We start from the raw sequence: 24564 nt of genomic DNA, 5'->3' as shown, positions 1-24564 counted from the left end.
CTTTATCTGGCTGTTATTGGCATCCCCAGTGCTACATAACCAGGAGATTACTGCTTTGCTACCAGAAGCATGGCAGGCCATGTAAAACAGGGTACAGCATGCGCAGCTCTCCTCGAGATAGGATAATGGGGCCATTTGGAGTTACACACTGGGTCGTGCTTAGAGATCTGCTACTCTCCACGTGTGCTGCTGTCTGGTGAAGAGAACACTAGTATTTGAGGATGGCCTTTTACTTGTCTTGTTTCTGACAATAATGGTAGAAATTTCCTTTCTTCTGATACATTTGAGATTACTGGGAGGAGAAAAAGAAGAAATCCAAATTTGTTCTTAACCAAAAAGCTACAAAATGAGTTGTTGGAAGTGGGAGAAGGCCAGGTCGATGCTGGGCCTCAGGCTGAATGTAGCAGTGTAGTTCTCAAGCCACCCTCTGCTTTGTTTTGGCCTGTTGAGTGCTGTTCCTGGCCATCTGGAAGACCCCTTATTCATACAGAGAGGGGGGTGTTGACGTCCAGAAACAGAACTGGCCAAAATGGGAATTTCTTTGTGATTCGGCTTAAAGAGTCACTTGCTTGAGACTCAAAAAGCATCTTTTCTGAATGGTCCACAGGTGGCCATAATGTATAATAAAGATAAATTCAGAATGAGCAGGTGTCATCACTTCTGCCCTGGGCTGCCTGACAACAGCCTGTTTATTTTCCTCTGCTCTGAGAGGTTACAACCCCAGATGGGGTTGGAATGACCCCACCATCAAGAGGACTTTTATGCTGGTGGGCCTAGAATCTTGAGGGGGTTTGGAGGGAGCTTGTTCACTCCAGCCAGGGTGCCCTGTGGCCCTGCACTCTGGCTGGTCTGTTGGATGAGACTTGAAACTGGTGTATGGATTTCTGTGGTATACAGGGCTTTCTGAGAATTTTTGTTTTCTCCACTTGGAAAATGATGTCCTGTCATATCTTGAAATGGGTCATGGACTTGCTAGTGTCATTGGCTTTCTTCTGAAAAATGTCCATCTGAGGAAACGGGACTGGTGCAGTGTGTGTGTTTGGGTGGGGGTGTGGGTGTGTGGGTGTGTATGTACATATAAAAAGTCCACCCTGGTGTGGGCCCTGTGCCTGGAAACTCAGAGGCTGCTGGAGACCTGCCTGGCATGCCTACTCCTTGGTTTCTGCCACTGCTGTGTCCAGGTGACTTGCCCTCAGACACTTGCTCTGTGCCCTGTCTCTGGCAGGTGCAGGGCCTACTTAGGCTCACAGAGACAGCACTCACATCCCCTCTGCCTTTGGGGCCACCCCGGGCTGGGTGGTGCGGCCCAGTGGAACCCTGCCCTTCACATTCCCTGGAGTGAGTTGGTGAATTGGAAGGTTGATGTGCTGGTGCTGAGACACTCACAGGGTGCTGCCTGTTTGAATGTGTCCAGTAGGGTGCTGATATGCGCCAGTATCAGATGCGAGGTGCTGCCCCATGCAGACCAAGTCCTCATCTCCCAGAGTCCTGCCAATGATTCCTTGGTACCACCAGGGTCCCTGTTATCCAGAGGCTGGCGCTGCCCCTAAAGCCTTTCACAAATCACCTCTCCCTGACTCTTAGTGTCCTACCTTGGACTCTGCCCCCTCCACTCCTTCTCCAGCCTCTGAATGCACAACAGGCAAATCCAGTGACAGATCCTGAACAGGGTTTAAGGAACCCACCAAGTTCTCTTACACCAGGAAGACAAATAAAATCTTGGTTCTACCACTTAAGAGGCTGTGTGACTCTGGGAAAGTTAACTTTTCTGCACCTCAGTTTCCCCCTTTTTGACATGGGATTAGCAACACTGTCTGAATTGTGAGGGTTAAGAGATTGTCCATAATAATCATTTATTGTCCATAGCTCAGTTATTATGGAGATAAAATGAGTTAATATTTATAAAGCACCTATACATATTATAAATAATATGTGTATACTATTGTCAATGATGCATGGCACATCTGATAGAAGTGTTTGCACCTGGGCTTTTTTTTTTTTTTTTAAACAATGTTTCAGCACCTCAAATACCTGTTGAATGATTAGGAAAGCTCTACAGGCTGAGAGTTGCTTGGGGGTGCTGATAACCATGTCCTCTTCATCCTTGTGCCTCCCTAAAGCCTGTTGGGCTGTCTGGCACATGGGAGTGCCCTAAAAATTGCTCTTTGACTGTGTAAGTGAAGGACTGAGTATGCCTTTCTCATTTTGTACATTCTCTTCAGCATTGGAAGCCTTAGTTTTAGAGAACTTATTTCTAATTTGGGAACATATTCCCCCAGTTCTCACACATTAAGGAGATAATTAGAGCTCAAAAGGGTGGAGCCTTAACCCAATAGGAATAATGTTCTTGGAGGTGACTTGGAGTTAACCACTTTGACATTTGTGACCTCAAAGCAAGAGTTAAGGCAGGCTAAATGATACGTTTTCATAAAAACAAACAAAAAAAAAAAAAGAGAAAATTACATGGAATTCAATGCAAAATTTGCAAACCAACCCAACGGTAGGAGCTAAGTAGGGATGCGACACCACCTTTTCCTTGTTTTGAAGGAATACTACCTAGCACCTGCGTGTGCCAGGTAAAACTCGGGATGGCAGCTAAGTCACAATCCTGCTGTCCAGGTGCATCCAATCTGGTGGGGAGGGTGGGTTCTGTAGCAGCACAGGAATGGAAATGTTTCCAGAGCAGAGCCAAAGTGCTGAGCAGCTTGTGTGGAAGGAAAGAAAGGGCTGATGAATTGGTGAGGGGGCATCTGGGGAACGGCAGAGAAGGAAAGAAAATGAGAAGATGTCATGGTGTGCCTGCTTCTTCCTGCCCCACTCTGGGAACTGTAGTGTCACTAACTCCGTGCAAGGCTCTCTCTCCCTGGCATTGCCCTCTGGTCACTAAATCACCTTCAGGTCCAGCCTCAAGCATCTTTGGCTGCAGCCTCACCCTCGGCCCACGCATCTCAAGCATCCCATTAAATTCTAGCCTCCCCAGGAGAGTGGGTGAGCTGGAATTTCACTCCCACTCCCTAACATCAAGAGACATAACAGATGTCTGGTTTTTCTTTGCATCCTCAAGTTTTCCTACCTCCTTCAGGGTGCAGAACATTCCTGAAGGGTGGAGAGGCAGAGGCTCCAAGATAGCATCAGTGTCTGTCCTCAGGCCACAGTGTCAGAGCTGGATGAACTGGGTTAGGGTAAGAAAGAAATTTGGGTTTGCTTGTTCTAAAAAAAATCTTGGTAGGGTAATTTTCTTGTAAGAAAATTGGCTTCTGTAGAGATTTAAAAATGGTATTGTAAAAACTGGTAAATATATTCACGGCAAGTTAATGTACTCTTCCTTGTGATTAGGCCCAATCAGATGTCATATTCCAGTTCATTCAGCGCTGATGGAAGTTCTTATAAAAACTAAAGCTAATTAAGTTTCCCTTTTCTCCCTCCCCACCCCATCATCAACTATGATTTCTTTGTTCACTGACGCAGATGTTAAAAATACATGGAAAATGTTTCTAAATTCTTTGTCATTTTAGGAGAAGATCTGTCATCAACAAAAAAATACTGGTGGGTAGAGCTGGAAAACAAAAAGGAATAAACAAAAAAACTTCAGGCATTAAAAAAAAAAAAAAAAAGTATGAGAGGCCTCTAGGTAATGATCACATTGGGAGTAGGTGGAGACATGTGAATATACATAGGCTGAGCCACCTTAAATCCCTCCCAGAAAGAGTCTAGGTATATAGGCGAGGGGGCCTGTTAGGAAATCACTGCAATGTTCTGGGAGGAGATGACAAATCCCTGTGAGGCGTGCGGTTGTAGAGACGCAGAGGAAAGGGTGCACAGGAGGCATTTTAAGGTGGAGTCAGCAGGACCCAGAGGCTGATCAAATGAGGGAGTGAAAGGAGAACAGAAGGGTCTGGGAAGCAGATTTGCTAAGGTTTCTCAGTGATGCCCATGAGGAAAGATGGGAGAAATATGGATTGGCTGCGAGAATGGTAAGGTTGTGTCACTAATGGGAGCAATGCACCCCAAAAGTATCAATGAATGGCCTGGTGTGTCTTCCAAGGGGGTAGGGGTTCCTGTGTTTTGACGTGGCTTTGTCTTAGTCAAGAGTTTTGTCATTGATTTGGATAATATAGAGGATGAGTTCACCACATTTCAGATGTCAAGAAGCTAGAAGAGATATCAAATCTAAAAGTGTCAAAAAGGATGAGAAGGGGGGTGGTGGGGGGAGAGGGGGGTGGTGGGGGGAGAAGAGAGAGGGAGAGACTAAATCTGAAAAGACAAAATTTAACAGGGCTACACGTGGATCCCAAATCTATCTGCTCAAGGTCAGGGAGTGGTAGCTTAGTAGCAGCACATATGAAAACAGTCAGGGACTTATTGATTATAATTTTCAACAGGAGTAAATATTGTACAGCATCTTCTCCCAGCCCTCAAGTGACTGTAGACTGCGCTGTCTGAAGCATGTGTTTCAGAAAAGGAAGGTGACAGCCTCATTCAGTTTTGTGCTGGTTAAATGGCAATGGATTATTGCTTTTGCTTGTGGACACAAGAGCAACATGGAGACATGGAAGCACGTTCAGACGAGAGCAAGCGTGACAGTGAAGAGGCTAGAGTCACCTGATTCCAACATCGTCATCACCACCATCTGTTGGGCGCTTACATCTCACAAAATCATCTCACAGCCTATGCAGCAGTCATTTCCATTCCCACCTTACCTACGAGGAAACTGAGCCTCAGGGGATGACATCACTGTAACACTACTGCTTCTGGCTCCACGGTTTTCATGAGGGAAGACATACCCAAACCCATGCTCTTTCCACCCCTCCTTACTGTGTCCTAAACCTCACCATCTGAGGGACTGTTGAGGGATGTGGGGATCCTTACGTTTCAGTTGGAATCAGACTCTGCCCCGTGCCCTGTCTCTGAGGTCCAATTTACTTTGTCCTGTCTCTGCTATACCTTACTCTCCTTACTCCAGCTGGACACAAGTTCTGGATCTCTTGTACCAAATCAGACCTCCCCAACTCATGTCTTCTACCGAAACAGACCTCCCTGATTCGTGATCCTGACATCCACTGGCATTGTGAGGGGCTACTGCCTAGGACACCGTGACCACATCCTATTTATCACTTTACCTCCTCCCCAGGACACAGTTTTCCTAGACCACTTCTGTTATCCAACCTCACTTAGACCAGGGCTATACAGTTATGACAATCCAACTTGTTTAGCAAGAAGACAGATTTAGCATTTCGGGTGGCTCCTGGGCTGGACAGGCAGAGCTGGGGCCTGGATAAGAAATGGATCCCCCCAGGAGAGACACAGGGACCAGTTCCTAGGTGCTCAGAGAAACCGGAGCGGAAGAGTTGATCCACTGGGATCAACTTATAGGGTTCGGTGGCTGACTGGACATAGTTTCTAAGGAAGAAATGGGAATCTGGTTTAGAGATAGAGGAGACTATTGGTTCTTTTCAGGTTGATGGTAGAAGAATTATGAAAGCTGCTTCAGGGAAACACAGATCTTCCCTTTCCTGTTACATACTCATTCCTAAAGAATCCTAGTTTAGGGCCTGGGAGATTGGACACATAGTTAACAGAGACACAAGACTTGTAACCCAGGAGTCTGGTGGTTCCCACTATGTGTGAGTCTGTTTTTGAGCCAGCATAACATTAAAGTAGACTCAGCCTCTTTTGGCTCTACCCCCAAAGAATCTGCTGTCCCCAAAGGCATTGTTTAGAGGCAGGCGACAAAGTACAAAATTCTTAGGGGTGGTGAAGGAATTTATAGAGCTGCCTCTGAGAACACTTGCTCAAATCAGGATCGATGTGCATGTTCCCTGGTGTTCTCGCCCTGCCCCAGCCTGTCACTGGCAGGCACTGTCTCTCCATTCTTCCCACCCCAGCCTGGCCTCTCTTGTGCCGAGTAATCCTGCTCTGCCTGACACGTGCTTTTCCATGCTCAGCGAAGCAAGGCCGTTGACAGGCCCAGCCTCCTTGGGAGATGGTTTAATGTGTTGCTTTTGCTACTCAACAATGCCCTGTGGAGTATTGCTCACTCCTATTTGTATAAACAACCCCCTCATGTATCTCTTCCAAGCACGCACAGCATTCTTTCCCTGGCAGTTTTGGTTGTAACTTTGTCTCTTTCAGTACAGAAGCTGAAGTGGGTGTGGCTGGGAAGGCCTGAAGTTACTGCAGAGCTAGGATTTGAACCTGGGTTTTGTGACTCCCAGTCTAATGCTTCTTCCACAGTATCAGATGGTGTGGGCTGCAGGTCTCTGCAGGTGAGGGCTTCTGGCTCAGCTGCTGGGGAGTAAGCACCAAGTAGGCACTTGGGCCAGGTCAGTGTTTCTCAATGTTTTATCATGATTGCCCCCCTAAAGAGTCTTTCTAGACATTTTTACCCCCTAATTGTCTACCCGTGAAGTTTTAGCACCAGGGATATACTGCACCCTGTTTGTGTACTGTATATATATGTGTGTGTGTATATATATATATCTGCTTTATAATAAAAACTTTTTTCATCACCCACCTCAAGATACAATTTCACCCTCTTGGGGGCAATATGGCCCCTATTGATAACGCAGGGGCTCAAAGTGATTCTCAGAGTGAGGGCCTCGGACCAGCAGCGGCAACATCACCAGGAATTTGTTAGAAATGCAGATTGTAAGTCCCGCTCTAGACCTATTGAACCACATCCTTGCGAGGTGGGGTCCAGCTGGCTGTGACTTAACAAACCCTTCCGAGGATCCTGGATTTGAGATAGGGGAGACTATTGGCTTTTTTCAGTTTGATGGTAGAGGAAGAATTAGGAAAGCTCGCCTGAGAGAAACACCAATCTTCCCTTTCCTGTTAATCACTTTCTTAATTAATTGTAATCATGGTCAGGATCCATTCTCTTTGATCCTTCAGCTCTTATTAAACACCTAGTGTGTGCAAGGCATGTTGAGCTCTGTAAAGATCATATTTTGGCCGGAAAGAGCCAGGTTCTACAGAGCCTGAATCTTAGATATAATTTGGAGGTCCTCTTTAAGAAAAAAAATACATCATGAATACATAATTGTGTGTTGGGGGAGAGGAGGTTGAAAGGGGCTTGTGCAAGTGAAGGATCTTGACACCTAAGCTCCATTGGCTCCATGGCAAGTCAGCTCACTGCTGAGCCCAAGGGAGGACCCTGAAGGTGGTCGCACAACAAAGACAGGCAGATGGGCAGGGCTGAGCTCCTGCCAGCCAGGCATGTGAAGGTGTCTGCGATGGAGACAGGTATGCATTTGGGGAATAGAGTGGGGAGAGCATTGTGCTGACCTGGAGCCTGGGAAAGGCATATCATGGGAGGTATCCAGAGGGCTTTGGAGAGGTGTACCAGTAGAGACAGGAAGGGTTTGGAAGAGCGGCGGAGCACATTGCTTCCAGGAGGGAGGAAGATGAGAGGATGTTTCCATCTGACGGTTTCAAGGCATTTTCTAGATGCTCCCCATAGCTTGAAGAGAGCCCAGACAAGCTCTCCCTGACTGGTCATTGAGCATTATTTGCTGTGGAGGGCAGGAGCTGCATTTCCCAAGAAGGTCTTTGGGCTCAGAGACCCCTTCTCCTTGCCCAATAAACACAGCCTGACTTCCCCCACTTCCCCATCCATTCCTGAGAATTAGTGGCTGCTGACAGATTGTCCCACCACGGGTGGCAGGGGAGGGGAGGAGTGGTGCATCACCTGCCAGCTTGCTCTGACGGGGGAGCCATTTGTCATTCGGTCGGGGGTGAAGCATGAACTGCATTTAAAGATTTGGATTTACTGCACACTGACCACTCAGGCCAGCCTTCTTCGTGGCTCAGCTGCCTTGGAATGAGAGCTGCCTATTATGTCTTCCTCAGTGGCAGCTCTAACTACTGCCATCTTCCCAATGGACACCTCCAAGGAACCAGTTACTTTTGTAAAAGGCAGTGCATTTGTACCTCACGGACTTCATCATGTCCATCAATCAAGATTTACTTTAAAAGGGCCGGGCGCGGTGGCTTATGCCTGTAATCCCAGCACTTTGGGAGGCTGAGGCGGGTGGATAACCTGAGGTCAGGGGTTGGAGACCAGCCTGGCCAACATAGTGAAACCCTATCTCTACTAAAAATACAAAAATGAGCCGGGTGCAGTGGCGCAGACCTGTAATCCCTGGAGAGATTGAACCACTGCACTCCAGCCTGGGTGACAGAGGGAGACTCCATCTTAATTTTTTTTTTTTTTTTTGAGGGGGAAGACTTCTGTAGCAGGGCTTGGGTTCTCTGCTTAATTTTGTGAGTATTCGTCTAAATTGTGCTAACGCATAATTAAGGTATTCGGAGTTAGTCTTCTCTCTGGAATGATATACAAGAATTGATTTCAAACAGTCAGACATCTTCTGTTTTATGAACAGAGGTCTTGATTTATAGTGTTGGACTTTCTTTGCCTGCCAGGAAAGCCTGATATCTTTTTCTGTCATTCTTTCCCTTCCTTTTCTCCCTCTCTCCTTCCCTCCCTTGTTCAATGAGCTTTTATTACGTGCCAGGCACTTCTCTGAGCACTGGAGCCAAGGATGAATAAGACAAGGTGTCCAACTGTAGATGACTGCTTGTAAAGATACAGAAACAAAGAGCCTTAGAGGAAGTGGTAAATCCCACAGAATGGATCTCTCAACTTCAGAACTATTGACATTTTGGGCCACATGATTCTACTGTGAAGGCTGTCTGGTGCATTGTAGGATGTTTAACAGCACCCCTGGCTTCTCACTAGATACCAGTAACATCCTCTTCTCCAGCTGTGCCAAGCAAAGATGCCCCCAGATATTGCCAAATGTCCCATGGGGTGAGGGAGCGAAACCATCCCAGTTGAGAACCACTGAGAACCACTGCCCTAGATCCAACTCGTGATAGGGATGAGAAGGCTTGGGTTTCTGTCCTGGTTCTGCAGCAGGGAGCTATGTGGTCAGAAGTAACTTAATCTCCTCAAGCTTCCCTTTTCTTATCTGGAAAAGAAGAGTTGAGAAAAATCCCTTCTAAATCCCACGAGTCTTGGAAATTTTGCATTTGTCTGCTATAATATATCAGAGCATATGTTCTGGAAAGGTAGGGACAGAGTTTATGCTTGACCCTACGCTTAACATGCCTAGAATTACAGAAACCTGTAATCAGTTAACAAAGACTTGTAGATGCTGACTGTGTGTAAAATAAACAGGGCCTGTGATTAAGAAATTTACATTCTTCATGGGGAAAGAAAATCCAGTCCCAAGACAGCGTGCTTGGGTTCTGGACTGCTTGGGCATGAATCCTGGCTCTGCCTCATGTGGGCTGGGTGACTTTGAATAAGTTACTTACTCTCTCTGAGCCTCAATTTCCTCATCTATAAAATGAAGATGATAATAGCCACTTCAGCGTTGCTGTGAAGTTTTAATGAGGTAGAACAGTGCCTGGCACACAGAGCAAGTACTTGACAAGAGTTAGCTATGGTGGTTGGGAAGATGAGGCTAAATTTCCAGCACCAAGCCTTGCTGGTTTCACACCCAATGCCTAGAGCATATGGTTAAGTCCTGCCAGTGCTCAGAAGGAAAGAGCCCACAGGGAGAGAAACAGATTCTATGAAGAGTATCTACGAAGGTTGCATAGGCTTTGTTTTTGGCAGGGAGCTGCAGGGCAGGAAAGGGAGGAGGCCATAATAGAAGGCCCAGAGGTGCTCAGTGAATAATGGGTAGAATCACCCAGTCTTTCAAAACCAGAACTAAATCGCTCAGAGCAGTGAAGTGACCTGCCCAGCCCACACTGCAGTCAAGGATGAGAGTCGGGATCAGCACCCCAGGTCTTGATGCGTAGTCCAGTGCTCTTCTTGCTTGACCAGCTCTGTGGGGATTTTAGAAAGAGAGATTCCCTGGTGAGAAAGTCTTCTGTGTTCTAAATGCCCAGAGTTAAACAGGTCTGTCTTGAGAGCCCTTAGGGCAGGGTAAGGGGGCAGGGGAGGGAAGGACCGGTGGAACGGTTGATGTTGGATCAATGACATGAGGGCTGGGTGTTTTGGAACCTGTGATAGCCCAGTGAGGGACTGGACTAATATTTAATTTTGTATTGTCAATCAAAACAGAAAAACCAGGGTTGCTAAGGAAATCAGATGAAGGGAGGACATTCAGATGAAGAAACAGATCATTTCCAAGCAAGAACTAGCAAGAACTCCAGATTCCTTATGTGCATTCAGGTAAAAAGCTAACTATAAATCAGTTTTAACAGGTCATTAAAGAGATCCCACCCAAGCTGTATTTTGCAAAACTTCATTATCTGACGCTGGGTATTGGCAATGTGAAATATACATTGGCACTGATTGATACAGGTGGGTCAGGGCTGTTAGCTCAACAGAATAGGAGTCCTCACAACTATGTGCTACTGGTACTAGTAATTACAATCAAAACCATGTTGTCTTATATCTGCAGCATACTTCCCTTTGTTCAATGCACTTTCATAGGCATTGCCAAGCCCTGACGAGTCTATTATTCTCATTTTCTGTAAGTGCAAACAGCGTAAATGAGGTTGGATGACCTGCCCAAGGATCTATGGCTGCAATCTGGGCACCTCCTCATGTGGGCTCACCATACTCTGTACCTGCTGGAGTAACCACCCTTCAAATGGCCCAAGGGCCCCTGCCTCCCAGGATTTGTACCCTGTGTGGTCCTCTCCCACATTGCACCAGGGTTGGTCTGACCAATAACAGAGCAGAAGTGATGGGTATGTCACTGCTGGGATTAGATTGTGAAAGACTAGGCCTTCCATTGTGGAGCCTCTTGCTCTCTCTGGGGATTCTCTCTCTTGCTGTGGGAGAAGCCAACTGCCATGTTGTGAGCAGCTTTAGGGAGAGGCCCCCATGGCAAGGAACTGAAGCCTCTGTCCCAGTAGCTGCAGGGATCTGGGGCCTGCCAATCTCCTCATGAGCATTATTCTCCAGCCTCAGTGGAGTCTTACCTCTGTACTAGGAGGCAAGGTGACCTCCTCCAGAACCCCTACTCTCATTTCTTAAAACCTCTCCTCCTACCTGGGGTTGTTCTAGTAAATAAAGTTCCCCCACAAGCAATTCATTCCTTTCAGTACCCATTGCCATCTTCCTGTGCGTCTCATGAAGAAAACACCCGTGGGAGTTGTTCATGCTTAAGGAGGTTTCAATTTCTTTTATAGTGAGCCATATAAATATATATAAACTTATATATTCAAATATATAAATATTATAGATATATTAACATTTAAAAAATATTTCACATATACAAATATATACAAAATTTTGTATAAATTTTATTTATACGTAATAAATTTTGTATAAATTTTATTTATACGTAATAAATTTTGTATAAATTTTATTTATACGTAATAAATTTTGTATAAATTTTATTTATACGTAATAAATTTTGTATAAATTTTATTTATATGTAATAAATTTTGTATATATACAAAATACATACTTTTTTTCTAGGTGTGTATATATGTATATATACACAAAAAAATATATATATATTTTAAATTGTGAATGGCAGGATCTAATGTGTGCATAGTGAGCCAAACTCGGGTGTGGGCCAGGCACATATGGAGTCTTTATTTCTTGTCTGTTTTCCTAGGTTCCCTACGATGCCCCAGTTTTGTGACATAATTTCAGTGGAGTTAAAGATCCCACAGCACCAGCTGCTAGTCCAAACGGGCAGACAGTAGGCAGGCTGTGGTGGAGTGCTGGCGGGAGGAGGTGGCCGGCAGAGAGAACCTCCTCGCCTTGCTAGTTATGTGAGCTTCCTAATCATGTGAAGTTGATTTTGCTGAGTCATCACTGATGAGGGTATGGGTTCTTTTGGTCTGATGATGATGTGAGATACCATGGGGGGCCAGGGTGGATGGGAAGCTTCCTAAGTATGAGTTTACTTATTAAATCAGTTTTCTTCATGACAGCAAGAAAGTTCTGGATCACTGGGAGAATGGAAGAGCACCTGGCGCCAGGATTTAGCAGAGATATCATTTAGGAATCCATCAGGAATGGAAGAGCATGTAGAAAATTAGGGGCATACGGGGGAAAATAAGCTCTGATGTAATCCTGCAGATTTGCCCAGGGCCCCCTCTCCTGTTCTTGGCCAGCTGTCAGGAGGAAAAGGCTCTGTGAATGATGTCTTACTCAGGCACCTGTTTATGGATTTCCATCCTGTCCCAGGGATATTTGGGTTTAAGGAGGGGGGTGAGTGAAACTTTAAAACAAAACAGAACAAAAAACAAAAATAGAGGAATTCCAGGCACCAGGTGGAGATTGGTGGGACAGAGCCCTAGATTTGGTTTTAGAACTCTACCACTGGCTTGATTGGCTTTGGGTGGCTACATTTGCAGAGCTGGGTGGCACAGAGCTAAAAGAATGGGCCTGAGTGGGAACTTGGGCTCTTGTGGACTGTGTGGCCTTGGGCAGGTAACTTGGCCTCTTTGGATTGTCCTTGTTTGTAAAACGAAATTCAATGATAGTTCATAGCTAATACTTTTGTGGGGGTTTAGAGTAGGAGAATGCTTAGTACAGACTTGCCACATAGTAGAATAAAGATAAGCTATTACAGCTTTATAATGTGTTTATATTATGGCTATGTATATTATAGTAACATTACAATAATATCAATTAATGACAGTAATATTAATATACTACAGCTATGTAATAATACCTAGGAAGCTTCCATGGCCATAGAGAGCATGGTTTTAGGTTTCTTCCACTTGCCTGACCTTTCCTACCTGCCATTCACAAACATCAAAGCAGGCCAAGTTGAGGATCTGCTAGGAACTGAGGGCAGGGTGGGCCACAGGCCATCTGGGGAGGGTGCTTGTTCTTCTGGGTAGAATGCTTGGGGAGCCTCCCCTGCTGTCAGATTCTGGGTGGCACCTCTGTTCTTGGCAGGGACAGTCCCTCTCTGGGGCTGGGGAAGGCTGTACAATGGGTGCTCTGTTGCTTGCTGGGACCATGTCAAGGTATCCAACTGGGTCAGAAATGCAGCTACAGAGCTGGGACCCCCTGCTCCAGGTCATGTGTGAAAGTGTGGGCAGAGAGACCTCCAGCCTCCAGGCCTGTTAGCATCTCTGGAAGGACCAATAGGAATCACGTGGCAGGCAGTGTTTCTGGCACCCTGAGCTCTCAGTGGGGTCAACAGTCCTGTGGTACCCCAGCCCTCTTAGGTCAGGCCAGGGATGAGGGAAGGGCCAGTGCTTTGTACCTCTGGTCAGGCAATGGCAGTTTCCCACTAAAGCCCTACGACTTTGACTCTTGTCCCAGAAGTTTTACCACACACTGAATAAAAGTACGACTGTGAAGTTGTTGCTGCCTGACAGCTGGTTGCAAAACTGTGCCTTGCCCAGCACCTGGCACCAGTATTTGGCAGAGATATCATTTAGGAATCCATCAGGAATTTGGTCTCTGGGGTATGAAACTGAGGTGGGGAAGGAGAGGGTGGAGAGGGTTGGTTTAAAGTAACTTTAGCACCTCTTATTGTTTTAAGTAGTCTGCCAGGCAGTGACATTCATTTGGTCTTTTAAACCTGACAACCAAGATAGTATTATAATTATTCCCACTCTACAGGCCAGGAAACTGAGCCTCAGAGAAGCTGAGTGACTTGCCTTGGTGACACATCTGGGGAGAGTAGAGTGAGGATTAAAGCCTGCTGCTGTCTGCTTGAAATTCCCATGCTCTGACCACTCTATGGCACTGCCTGGCTGGACTAACTATTTCCCTATTGTGTTTGGCAGGTGCTGTCATTTCATGAAAGGCCAGTCTAAGTGTCTAGCTCTAGAGCTTTCTTTGGCGATGGGGCGGGCGTGTGTGCACGGGATGTCTGTCCTCTTGCGGCCTGGCTGTCAGGAGCTAAGAATTCAGACCAGGCTCCCTTTACCTGTTCTTCAAGGGTGCTTTTGTTCCTTGACCTCCAGATTTTAGGAGATAAATTTGAGAATGACTCTGAGGCTATAATCTAGAAATCTAATCCCCTGTGAACTCCATTCCTTCCTGGCTATTTAATGGGCTCGCTCTTTCCTTAGGAGGTGAGCTGTGGCCAGGCTTCCACCTGGGTGTAATTAGTATCCTCCACACTTCTCAGGCTCTGGGCTCTCAGAGACCTGAAATTTTTGCAAGTGCTGCCCTCCTCCCTAATAACTGGCTGGCAGTGGTTCATCAGAGCCGGAAGCGACCAGGTAGCACGTCTCACTGCCTCCCTTTCCGTGTCGCCTGGGAGACAAATCAGGCGCTCCACCCACTCCCAGCCCCGGGTTCAGAGAGCTGGAGATGACGGGAGAAAACATTTCTCCATATTTCATTGTTGTGTTTTAATTTATATTCACTGGAGAGTGGCAGATTAGAGGTTGTGAAACTATGAGGGGAAAACAGCTTCTAAAAATAAGTGGTGCTGGCGTGACGGGCCAGATTTGGAAGGAGGGCGCCTTGCATTCTCTCCGGAGGTGAGAAGACTACAGGATAATTATCCCGCGAACGGCGCCGGCTCTCAGTGGAGCAGCAGGGCCAAATGTTGGTGATGCCGTTTCACCCACTCAGCTACAAAGGGGCATTCAAGAGCCCTGTAAGAAATATGTTCAGATTAGCCGGAGGAGATACGCTCTTTTGGAAAACGAATAGCATCAACGTTCTTTCTTTCCTGGCAGAAGCTCTGGCTGTCCTTATGGAGGTGACCGGCTCTTAGAAGAAGTTAAGTAGGCTGAGTGTCGCTGGCTCTAGGGCATCTCCCCTGGCCTGATACCCTGTGCCTGCCATCTTCCCGACCCCACGCATGTTTAAGTCCTAACCCTGTCACTCATGTGACCTTTTAGCAAGTTTCCTAAACATCTCGAGACTCATTTTCCCAGTTTCAAAAATGTGCTGAATAGTAAATCCTGTCTCAGACTGGTTTGAGATTAAAAACAAAATTAAGTATTGCAAAGAACCTAGAATATGCCTAAGGCCCAATGAGTACTGTTTTTTTCTTTTCCCCACAGTATTAGCAGGTCACAGTGAAACTGCCTTTGTGAAATGATGACAGAGAAATCTGACATAGTTGACTCCATCTTGCTTTTAACCTCCAAGCTGTCCTTGGTCATTCCTAGGTGTAGGCCAAGCTAACTTTGGGAGGAATTTAGTTTATAGTTGAACCTTACAGCAAGGATAATAGCCACTCCCCAAACTCAACCACTTTTGCAAAACCAGTGAAAGGCCAGAAGGTCAGGATTATGAAAGGGGCCTGAATTCTGCTAAGATATAGGCAAATTTTCTATCATCCCTTACTGCTCAGGGGTCATGTGGCCAGAGGTCACAAGATTTGTGACTTGCCTAATTGCTTCTGTAGATAACATCACTATTGTAGAGCCTAAGATGGATCTTTTGAGTTGTTTTTTAGACTGACTACATCCGGACTTGAGGCTCATGACTCAGCCAGTCTTGGGGCCCCCACCCAGAGGCCAACTGAGTGCACAAGGACCGTTTTCCATAACCCTATGATTTCATCCCCAACCAATCTGCAGCACCCATTCCCTAATCCCCTGTACATCAAACTATCCTTGAAAAACCCTAACCGCTGAGCATTCAGGGAGACTGATTGGAGTAATAACTGTCTTCTGCGTAGCTGGCTTTGTGTTAAACTCTACTACAATAGCGTGGTCTTGGTGAACTGGTTTTGTCTATGCAGCGAATAGGAAGAACCTGCTGGGTGATTACAACAGCTATTTAATAGAGTGCTCCTGAACCCTGGGAAGCTTGTAAGCCGCCCCCCCGCCCCCGCAACAAAATGAATCCCTAATGGTTGAATTTCAGGCCAGCAGAAAGATGCTTTGGAGAGGTGAAACTTTCTGGTGCTATTCAAATACTACCATGGAGGCAACCATCTGTTCAGCTTATCTGTAAGGTCAGCTCAGTATTGTTGTGAAGTAGAAGGCGGCCCAGAGAGAACCACAATTATTTTTGCAGTTTACAATGCACTTGCAGATGCACACTCTCATTTGGCTCACAGACAGCTTTATTAAGTAGCCATCAGGACCACTTGCCTTTTGCAGATGACAAAACCAGAAGTCAAGATTAAGTTCATTTAGTGATTAAACCAGAACTCCCAAATCCTGTTTTTCTCCCATCCTGAGATGTAATAGGGAATTCATCCCTAGATTGTCAGAAAACACTAGGGTATGGCCCTTTATGGGAGTGGTCTTTGGGTCATGCCAAAGGGAAATACCAAGGGGAAGAAAGGTGCTCATCTGTACAATTCTTTTTACCTTAAGACTGGATAGTGGGAGGCTGGGATTTCTTCACTCCTAAACTACTCCCTCTCAAGACTTGGGCCCTTTGTGCTGAATGCCCCATGCCTGGGCTGTACTTCGGACACTTTTCAGAAAATGGGGCAGTTCAGAGAGGCTGCCCCCAGTGATTCCAGGTTCATATAGGAAAGAAATGAATGTGGGACTAAATATTTTCCTTCCAAGGGGGCTAACTCTGGAGGTGAGGACATTCCTACAGGTTGCTGAGATAGGATAGGCCTGAGAATGACTCTTCCAAACACCTAGCACAGTGCCTAGTGCCTAACAGGGATTGATACATAGCTGTTAGATGAATGGCGTAGATAAGGAAACTGAGGCATGTGCCTCCATGTAGTTCAGTGGTCAGCCCCAGTGTGGACGTCAGATTGCTGGGTTGGAAGGAGTCTCAGGAATTGAGCAGTCTAACTTCTTAACTTTATTTATTGAGATGGAGTCTCCATTGCCCAGGCTTGGGAGTAGTGGCATGATCTTGGCTCATGCCACCTCCGCCTCTTGGATTCAAGCCATCCTCCTGCCTCAGCCTCCTGAGTAGCTGGGATTACAGGTGTTTGCTACCATGCCCGGCTAATTTTTGTAGTTTTAGTAGAAATGGGGGTTTTCCATGTTGGCCAGACTGGCCTTGACCTCCTGACCTCGAGGGATCCACTGGCCTTGGCCTCCCCAAGTTCTGGATTACAGGTGTGAGCTACCGTGCCTGGCCACTTCCTTACTGATGAAGAAACTGAAGCTCAGAGTTGAGTAGTGGCTTGCCCCAGGCCATATGGCTACTTAGTGGCTGAGGTGGCTTTCCTGACTTTAGCCTTCCTGCCACATTCCCACCATGCTCCTTGGCAACAGGATTTCATGATCTATCCAGGGCCAACACAAGATGACCTCGGGCCCTGCAAGTACCTCTGCTGAATTTCCTTAAAATAACTGCTGTGATGAGCTTTAATGTGTTAGAGGTGCCAGGGGTGGGGATGGGGAAAGGAAATCCTTTTAAACTTGCTAATTGCCTGTTAATTTCAGTCCCCACTCTACAGAAAGCTATTTCTGGATGATGGCATGTACTCTGGAATTGCAATAATTAGCTTGTTTGGGCCAGAGCAAGACCATCAGGTAGTAAATAATATGTCCAACAACTGAGAAGCAAAAATGCATTCAGTTTTAAATGACATGCTGTCTGGAAGCTATTTATTAAGGGGCCGTCTATTGCTTCAGCAACCTGGTGGAATGCCCAGATTAGCTACACAGCTTTAAATGCCAAAGAAAAGCAGTGCTATTACCACCACTAAAAATAATAGCTTTGGTTTATTGAGCGCTTACTTTGTACCAAGCAGTCTGCTAACTGTTGTGCATACCTTCCCTTCGTTTAATCCTCACTGTGAGCCCATGAGGGAGAGATGTTATCCTTCATTTGCCCATGAGAATGGAAGCTCTACAAGGTTAAGTCATTAGCTACTTAAGATCATTTAGTTATGAAGTGGCGCAGCTGGGACTCACCATCTGGGGACTCTTAAGTTAGTGTGTAAGAACCACCTTTGAAAATCTCATAAGTACTTGAAAGTATGGGGTTCAGCCAATGTTTTTCCCAGTTGATTACCAGATAAAGGCATTTTCTTAAGTTTAGGGACCAGGTTGCATGAAAAATAAGTGACTTTGTATGCCAGAACCATAATCATCCTAGCACAGTGTGAGGTACACACGCAGGAGGGAAGTGTGCCCCCGTTGTCCCGCCTCACACCCACTGTGGGCCCGTGCTCACCAGGTGGCACTTCTAGTGGAGCCAACTGCCATCTGCCATCTAAATTATTTCCTTCTCTCTTGGGCCTGTTCACTATTTGATTGTTTGCCAAGCACCTATAGTTGAATTATTTCAAGTTAAAACCTATCTGTGAAGGGATTCCACTAAATTATCCCCCACGCTTCTGACTGGCAAATGAAACAAACAAGCAAAACCAGTTCTTTGGCATCTGTGGGCCAGGGTTCAGTTATTCTCAGGCCCTGTGTCTTGCTCATGTGCTGCATTGGTAGATGTCCTCCGCCTGCGTTGCCTCCCCTCTCTAATTGCTGGGTGGTAGGAGCCATCTCCTAAATATGCTGAGTCTGGGCTCGTACGTTCATTGCACAAACATTGACCACACAACCTGGTCTGTACCAGGCCTAGATGTTGAGAATACAGTGATGAACAAGGCACAGGGCTTCATCTCAGAGGGTCATAACTACTTTTGGGGAAAGAGCAGAGGAGAGAACCAATGAGTGCAAGACAGCTTGGATACTTGCTGGGCTTGCCATAAGCAGGGGCAATCCACATGCCTAACTAGGGTGACCAACCATCCTGGTTTGCATGGGATTGAGCTGATATACTACCCAAAGTCCCACAAACCAGAACATCCGTTAGGCCCAGTCATACTAGGACAGCTGGTCACCCTACACCCAGCCTGAGGAGATGGGGGAGGGATGCTCTGGGTGAGACTCATCCAAGGAGTGGGACTCTCCAGGCAGATAAGAGAGGAGGAGGAACCAGGCAGAGGGACAGTGACATGAGAGAGTGGCACTGTTAGAATAGAGCCGTCCATGTCAAGGAGTGGCAGGTCAAGGAGCAGCATGGATTCACCAGCATGGTAGAGACACACAGCTTTTTCTTAGTTATGCTGTGGGCTTTCTGTTCACTGGAACCTACTTCTAGGAAGAACAGGGAGACCCTGGATACCTGAGGCTTGGGAAGTGCTTCACTAGATGAATTCTAGAGATGAAAGAGGGGCATTTTCTAGCCATCTTAGTCTGTTCCCTTGCCGACGTCCTCACACAGCCCACAGAATGTGCTCCAGAAGTTCTCATTGTTCTCAACCGTAATCTACATGGAAAGTAACCTCAATGCCTTTGAGAAGAAGGGGCCTCAAGGGCCAAGCCCACCTCTCCCTCAGTGTGGCTGGGAAGGCAGCGCTGGGATGTCAGTGGGCTCTCTCGCTTATGCCACAAATGACAGGGCAGCTTTGGAACTTCTCTGATTCTCAGTAGTCTGTAAAACAGGCATAGCAATATCTTCTTTGCAGAGATGTTGTGAGATCCAAATAAGTGCCTGGTCCAGTGTCAGCGTGTGATGTGTATGGAGGGAGAGACTTTCAAGCTGAATCTTACAGTATGAAAGGTCTTCAGTCGAAGGAAGGAAACAGCCCTTAGCCCGAGATCAGCACGTGCGAGGGTCTGGAGCCCTGAAGCAGCCTGAGAGCCAGGGGAGTGATGAACATTGCATGTGGCTGTTGCACGGGACTTTCTTCCCCTCCGGCACCCAACAAACCTGTGACAAACAAGTGCTTCCCGACCCTGTGAATACCTAGAATCTTCAGAGCCACCATTGACTCCTCCCTCTCCTCACCCATCATAAGCAAACATGCAGCATAACATGTTGATACTGTCTCCTAAAACTCACTTGAATCCATTTTTATCCACCTCCAGCCCATCCAAGGGAGTATCAACTCTCTCCTTGCTGCTGCCTCCCCCGGGGTCTCCCTGCTTAACCCCGCCGTCCTCTTCCAATGCATTCTACATGTCAGCCCAAGTGATCAGTGGATGATGCATAACTGATGCTATTACCCCTGCCAAAGCTGTTAGGTTCCTATCATTCTTGCGGAACCCAACTACGGAATGACCCTTGGCCTGTAGTGAGGGTGCTGAATGCTATGGTTGCTGCTCATGTTTTAGCCTCTTCTTGAGCTGTTTTCTTCCTTCTTTTCCACCCTCCTTTTCTGGTGGCCTTGGTGAGTTCCTGGAACACATTGCACTCCTTCCCCACCCAGAACCACGGCTTGCAACCCACTTCCTCCCCTGTTAGTCTAGTTAACTCCTGTTCATCATTCAGATTTTAGTGTAAATGTCACTTCCTCAATGTGTTCTGTAGCATTCTCAGTTGGCATACTCCATTTGTAAGTGGTTTTAGTTATGTGTCTCTGAATTTGGCGAGAAAGTGTGTTGTGAGGCAGTGTGGCCCGACGGTAGGAGTGTGGGCCCTGGAGTCAGAGTGTGTGGGCTCCAGGGCCCATGCCCCATGAGCCCCACCTGGAGCTGACTGGCTGTGTAACCTTGGGCAAGTTATTTCCCTGCTCTGTGCCTCAGTTTCCCCACAGTACCAAAGGATAAGAATAGTATTCATCTCAGTGGGTTGCTGTGAGGATTAAATGAATTAATATTGGTAAAGCCCTTATTAGCATGATGCCTGGCCCATAGTAGGTGCTGTAGAAGCATTTGTGACGTAAATAAAAAGAGTTGTCTCTGAGCATTTTGCTCATATCCTGGATACACCCTCCATGATGTTGTGTTTAGTCAGATGTGCTCGTGTCCACTTCTTCTTGATCCCAAGGCCCTTTTGAGGGCAGGGACGAATGCTAAGGCATTTTTCTATATGCTGGTGCCCAGAAGGGTGCCTAGCACACAGTGGATTATCACCAAATGGAGTAGGAATGGAATAATGAGGTGAAAATAAACAATGTATGATGCAGAAGAGGTGGAGGTGAAATGCCAAGGACAGCCTTGCTATAACCAGGTATCAGAGACAGGCCTGCATGCTTGACCCTGTCCACACCTGTGTTAGGATGTTAGGCCAAAAAGATAGAGCCAGAGGGTCAAACCTTTCAGCTTTTAATGAACTGTCTTTTTGGAAAGACTGAACACTGTTGGTAGATTCACCCCAAATTTCCATCATTTTCTGAAACAGCTCAGTCCCCAAGAAGAGAGCCCATGTTGGACATAAATTTAAAAGCAAACAATAAACCTCAAGAAGTAATTTGGAACGGCTGGGAAAGTCACTTTAAAATGCCCCCTTTAAGTATGGAGGGAATTAAGATATTTGATTAGCAGTCAAATCTCCCAGAGAATAAATTAGAAAATACTAAGTTTTCTTGCTTCAGAAGCACTTTTTGCAGAGCTATTAAATTATCAATACTAGGTAGGAAAAAAGAGGTCTCATTAAAAAAAATTGATGTAGGACAACTTGCCAAGAGATATTTTTACTCAACGGGCATGGTCTTGGAGACAGCTGTGATCTTTAACTTCCTAGATTTACTTAGAAAATAGATGAAGTATCTTTCTACTTTGTATCTGTGGTTTATTTTGGGCAATGGACTGTGAATGCTGGATGGTGATATGGCAAGATAAACATGGTGAAGGGACAGAGGTTACCCCCTTCTACCCTCACAGCAGCCTCCTCTCCAACCCCACCCACATCCTGCAAAACCTCTGCCAGGAGCAAAATCTTCTTCTACCCTCAGGATCGTAGGAATCACTTTGTAAACTGCAGGGTCAGTGTGCCAATTGCTTACTTGCCAAATATCCGATCTGAGCCCCTTGGAGTTAGAAGGAACCTTAGAATAGCTCTCCCCACCTGCCACATAACTGGTCTACATTGGTAACTTTTGTTACCAAGGGTCATTTCTTAATCCCTGTGACTTTAGTAACCTGGTGTTTGACAGAGGGAGGGTTATATGTCAACTCTATATGGCCACTGTGATTTACATTGAATTTCAGTAATGCTAAAAATGAACTAGAGATATTTTAAATAGCCACTCCCTTTTTGAAGAATTTAAATTTGTTACCTTGAAGAATTTAGTGTGTTCTATACCCATGTCATTTTATGTCCATGGTAGGGAGATAGTTTAGCCTGAACAACACACTCTCTGTCTAGAGACTCAGCCAGCTATGCTTTCGCTGAGTGAAGGGCTCCACTAACACATCCCTGACTGACGCTATAAGGCTGGCCAGGTTCTGGGCCTCAGGAATCACCACCCAGTCTGTGCAAGGCTTGGGATGAGAAGCGAATCACTCCAGGAGGCTCAGTTAATGGCAGAGTCAGGCCTCAAATACAGGTTTCCTGATGTCTAAACCTGGGCCCTTTCAAAAGCCCCCAAACCCAGGGAGGACTGGTCTTGATCATGAGCTCCTTAAGGTTTTTTGCTTGCTGTAGAAGTTTACCGTAAAATGTTACCTCAGAAATACAGGATGTACTTCTCAGGGGATTAGGGGGACATCCAGGGGTCTTGGGGTCTCTGGCTGTGCCCAGGAACACTGCTCAGTGAGGATTGGTCCCAGCCATGGAGGGTGCTGGTGCCCAGAAATTTAGAGTGGCTGTGGCTAAGTGACCCATATGCTTTTCATGGACTGTTTCTTACCCTTATAACAACCTAAGAGCCAGGTATGAATTGTCCATTTTATGGATGAAGCCATAAGACCTAGAGAGGTTAGGTCAACTATTGAAGACTCAGGTTTGTCTGACTCCAAAGCCCAAGGAACTCTTTTTCACCACTCCATACACGTAGACAACCCTGTGTGAAAGCTTGGCTCTGGAGAACAGAGCATGAGCTGGAGAGGGTGGTGAGGTCAATGGAAGCTTTCTCCCAGTTCACTTCATTGTGATTATTTTAAAAGAAAATCTCTGCAATGCATGGACTGTCTCTAAAAAGGGCAGAGGAAAGGGTTCCTATTAGGTGTCTCTAGGCTGGAAACTGGGTGGCTGGGGACAGGGCTGGGAGGAAGACGTTTTACCATGTACCATTTTGTACCTTTCATGATTTTGTGCATGTGACTTCATCATCTGATTAAAAATAAAGTTAAAATTTAAAAGAAAGATAATGCATGCACTTGCTAAAAAATTTAGTCCATATGAATGAGAATACCGAATATAGTGACAAGTCTCCTCCTGCTTCTGACCCCAGGCTCTTTCCCTGCTGCCCCAAGTCAGCCGTTGCTATTGTTCTGGAGACAGGATAGGCACATACAAGTGCACATGTGTACATCTCCCTTTTTACATAAGCTGGATGAAGCCATGCATACTGGTTGGCACCTTGTCTTTTCACTTATATCTTGGAGAATATTCTACACAAGTACATACATTTCTACTTTATTCTATCTATTTATTTAGAGATGGAGTCTCGCTCTGCTGGCCAGGCTGGAGTGCAGTGGCCCGATCTCGGCTCACCGTAACCTCTGCCTCCCAGGTTCAAGCAATTCTCCCTGCCTCAGCCTCTCGAGTAGCTGGGGTTACAGGTGCCAGGCCTGGCTAATTTTTATATTTTTTTAGAAGAGATGGGGTTTCGCCATGTTGGCCAAGCTGGTCTTGAACTCCTGACCTCAGGTGATCTGCCTGCCTCAGTCTCAAAGTGCTGGGAGTACAGGTGTGAGCTGTCGTGCCTGGCCAACTTCAGTCTTTTAAAAGGCTGCATAGTGTTCTTGTACATGGATATATCCTGATTTATTTATCCAGTTACCTGTTGATAGACATTTGTTTCCAGTCTTTTGCTACTACAGATAACCCAAAAGTGAATCTTCTCAATGACTTTTCTCATACATGTGTAGGTCAGTCTGTGAGATAAACATTTATAAGTGCAATTACTGTGTCAAAGGACATTTATGGTTTTTTTAATCTTTTAAAATTGTATGTGCATTTAAACTTTGAGAGTCATTGTCACTCTGTCCCCTGAAGAGGTTGTACAATTTCCCTCCCACCACAAGTCATGAGGATATCAGTTTCCTTACAAATGGGAAGATATTTAGCGAAATGGAGCAAACTTTCTACAGAAGACAAGTCTTCTGTACCAGTGTCTTTGGCCCAGTGTATCCCATGGAGGGCTGTAGGGCTTGTAATCACTGTGGCCTCTCCAGGGCATCTGACCATCTCCATGGGAATTGGACATTTCCCCCAGTCAATCTGTGGATGCTTATGGAACATCTGTTGTGTGCCATGCTCTTGACTAGGGGCTGTTTAAATCACCAGGAACCGAAGTCTCTGGACCTGCCTCCGAGAAGCTTGTGACATAACTGAACAGCTAAGAAATCCTTTGAGAGGGGAACCTACAGTACAAGGCCATGAGTCCCAAGTTCTAAATCAGGACAGTCCAATCTTTTGGCTTCCCTGGGCCACATTGGAAGAAGAATTGTCTTGGGCCACACATAAAATACACTAAAACTAACGGTAGCTGATAAGCTACAAAAAGAAAATCATGAAAAAATCTCATAACGTTTCAAGAAAGTTTATGAATTTGTGTTGGGCTGCATTCAAAGCTTCTGGACCAAGGCAGTCCTGGGCTGAAGGTTGGACAAGCTTGTTTTAAATGAAACTTATAGGCCGGGCACAGTGGCTCACACCTGTAATCCCAGCACTTTGGGAGGCCAAGGTGGGGGCGGATCACTTGAGGTCAGGGGTTTGGGATCAACCTGGCCAACATAGTGAAACCTCATCTCTACTAAAAATACAAAAATTAGTCAGGTGTGGTGGCAGGCACCTGTAATCCCATCTACTTGAGACGCCAAGGCAGGAGAATC

At 46.1% G+C, this 24564-nt stretch overlaps 1 protein-coding gene and 1 long non-coding RNA gene across 2 annotated transcripts in view; one reads left to right on the top strand and one right to left on the bottom strand.

The window, feature by feature from the left end:
* Positions 1 to 24564, bottom strand: part of LIPC (lipase C, hepatic type) — a 137854-nt gene that overhangs the window by 64883 nt on the left and 48407 nt on the right. The gene's annotated exons all lie outside the window — the stretch shown is intronic.
* LIPC-AS1 (LIPC antisense RNA 1) overlaps positions 6227 to 24564 on the top strand; it is a 63835-nt gene continuing 45497 nt past the window's right edge. The window contains exons 1-2 of the long non-coding RNA NR_120338.1: positions 6227 to 6323; positions 10079 to 10189. This is a non-coding gene — a long non-coding RNA (LIPC antisense RNA 1). The remainder of the gene's footprint in view (positions 6324 to 10078; positions 10190 to 24564) is intronic.

This window comes from Homo sapiens, chromosome 15, assembly GCF_000001405.40.
Source record: "Homo sapiens chromosome 15, GRCh38.p14 Primary Assembly".
In the NCBI taxonomy this organism is placed as follows: Eukaryota; Metazoa; Chordata; class Mammalia; order Primates; family Hominidae; genus Homo; species Homo sapiens.
Note: the sequence above shows the minus strand (reverse complement) of the source record. Positions and strands in the feature narration are given on the sequence as shown.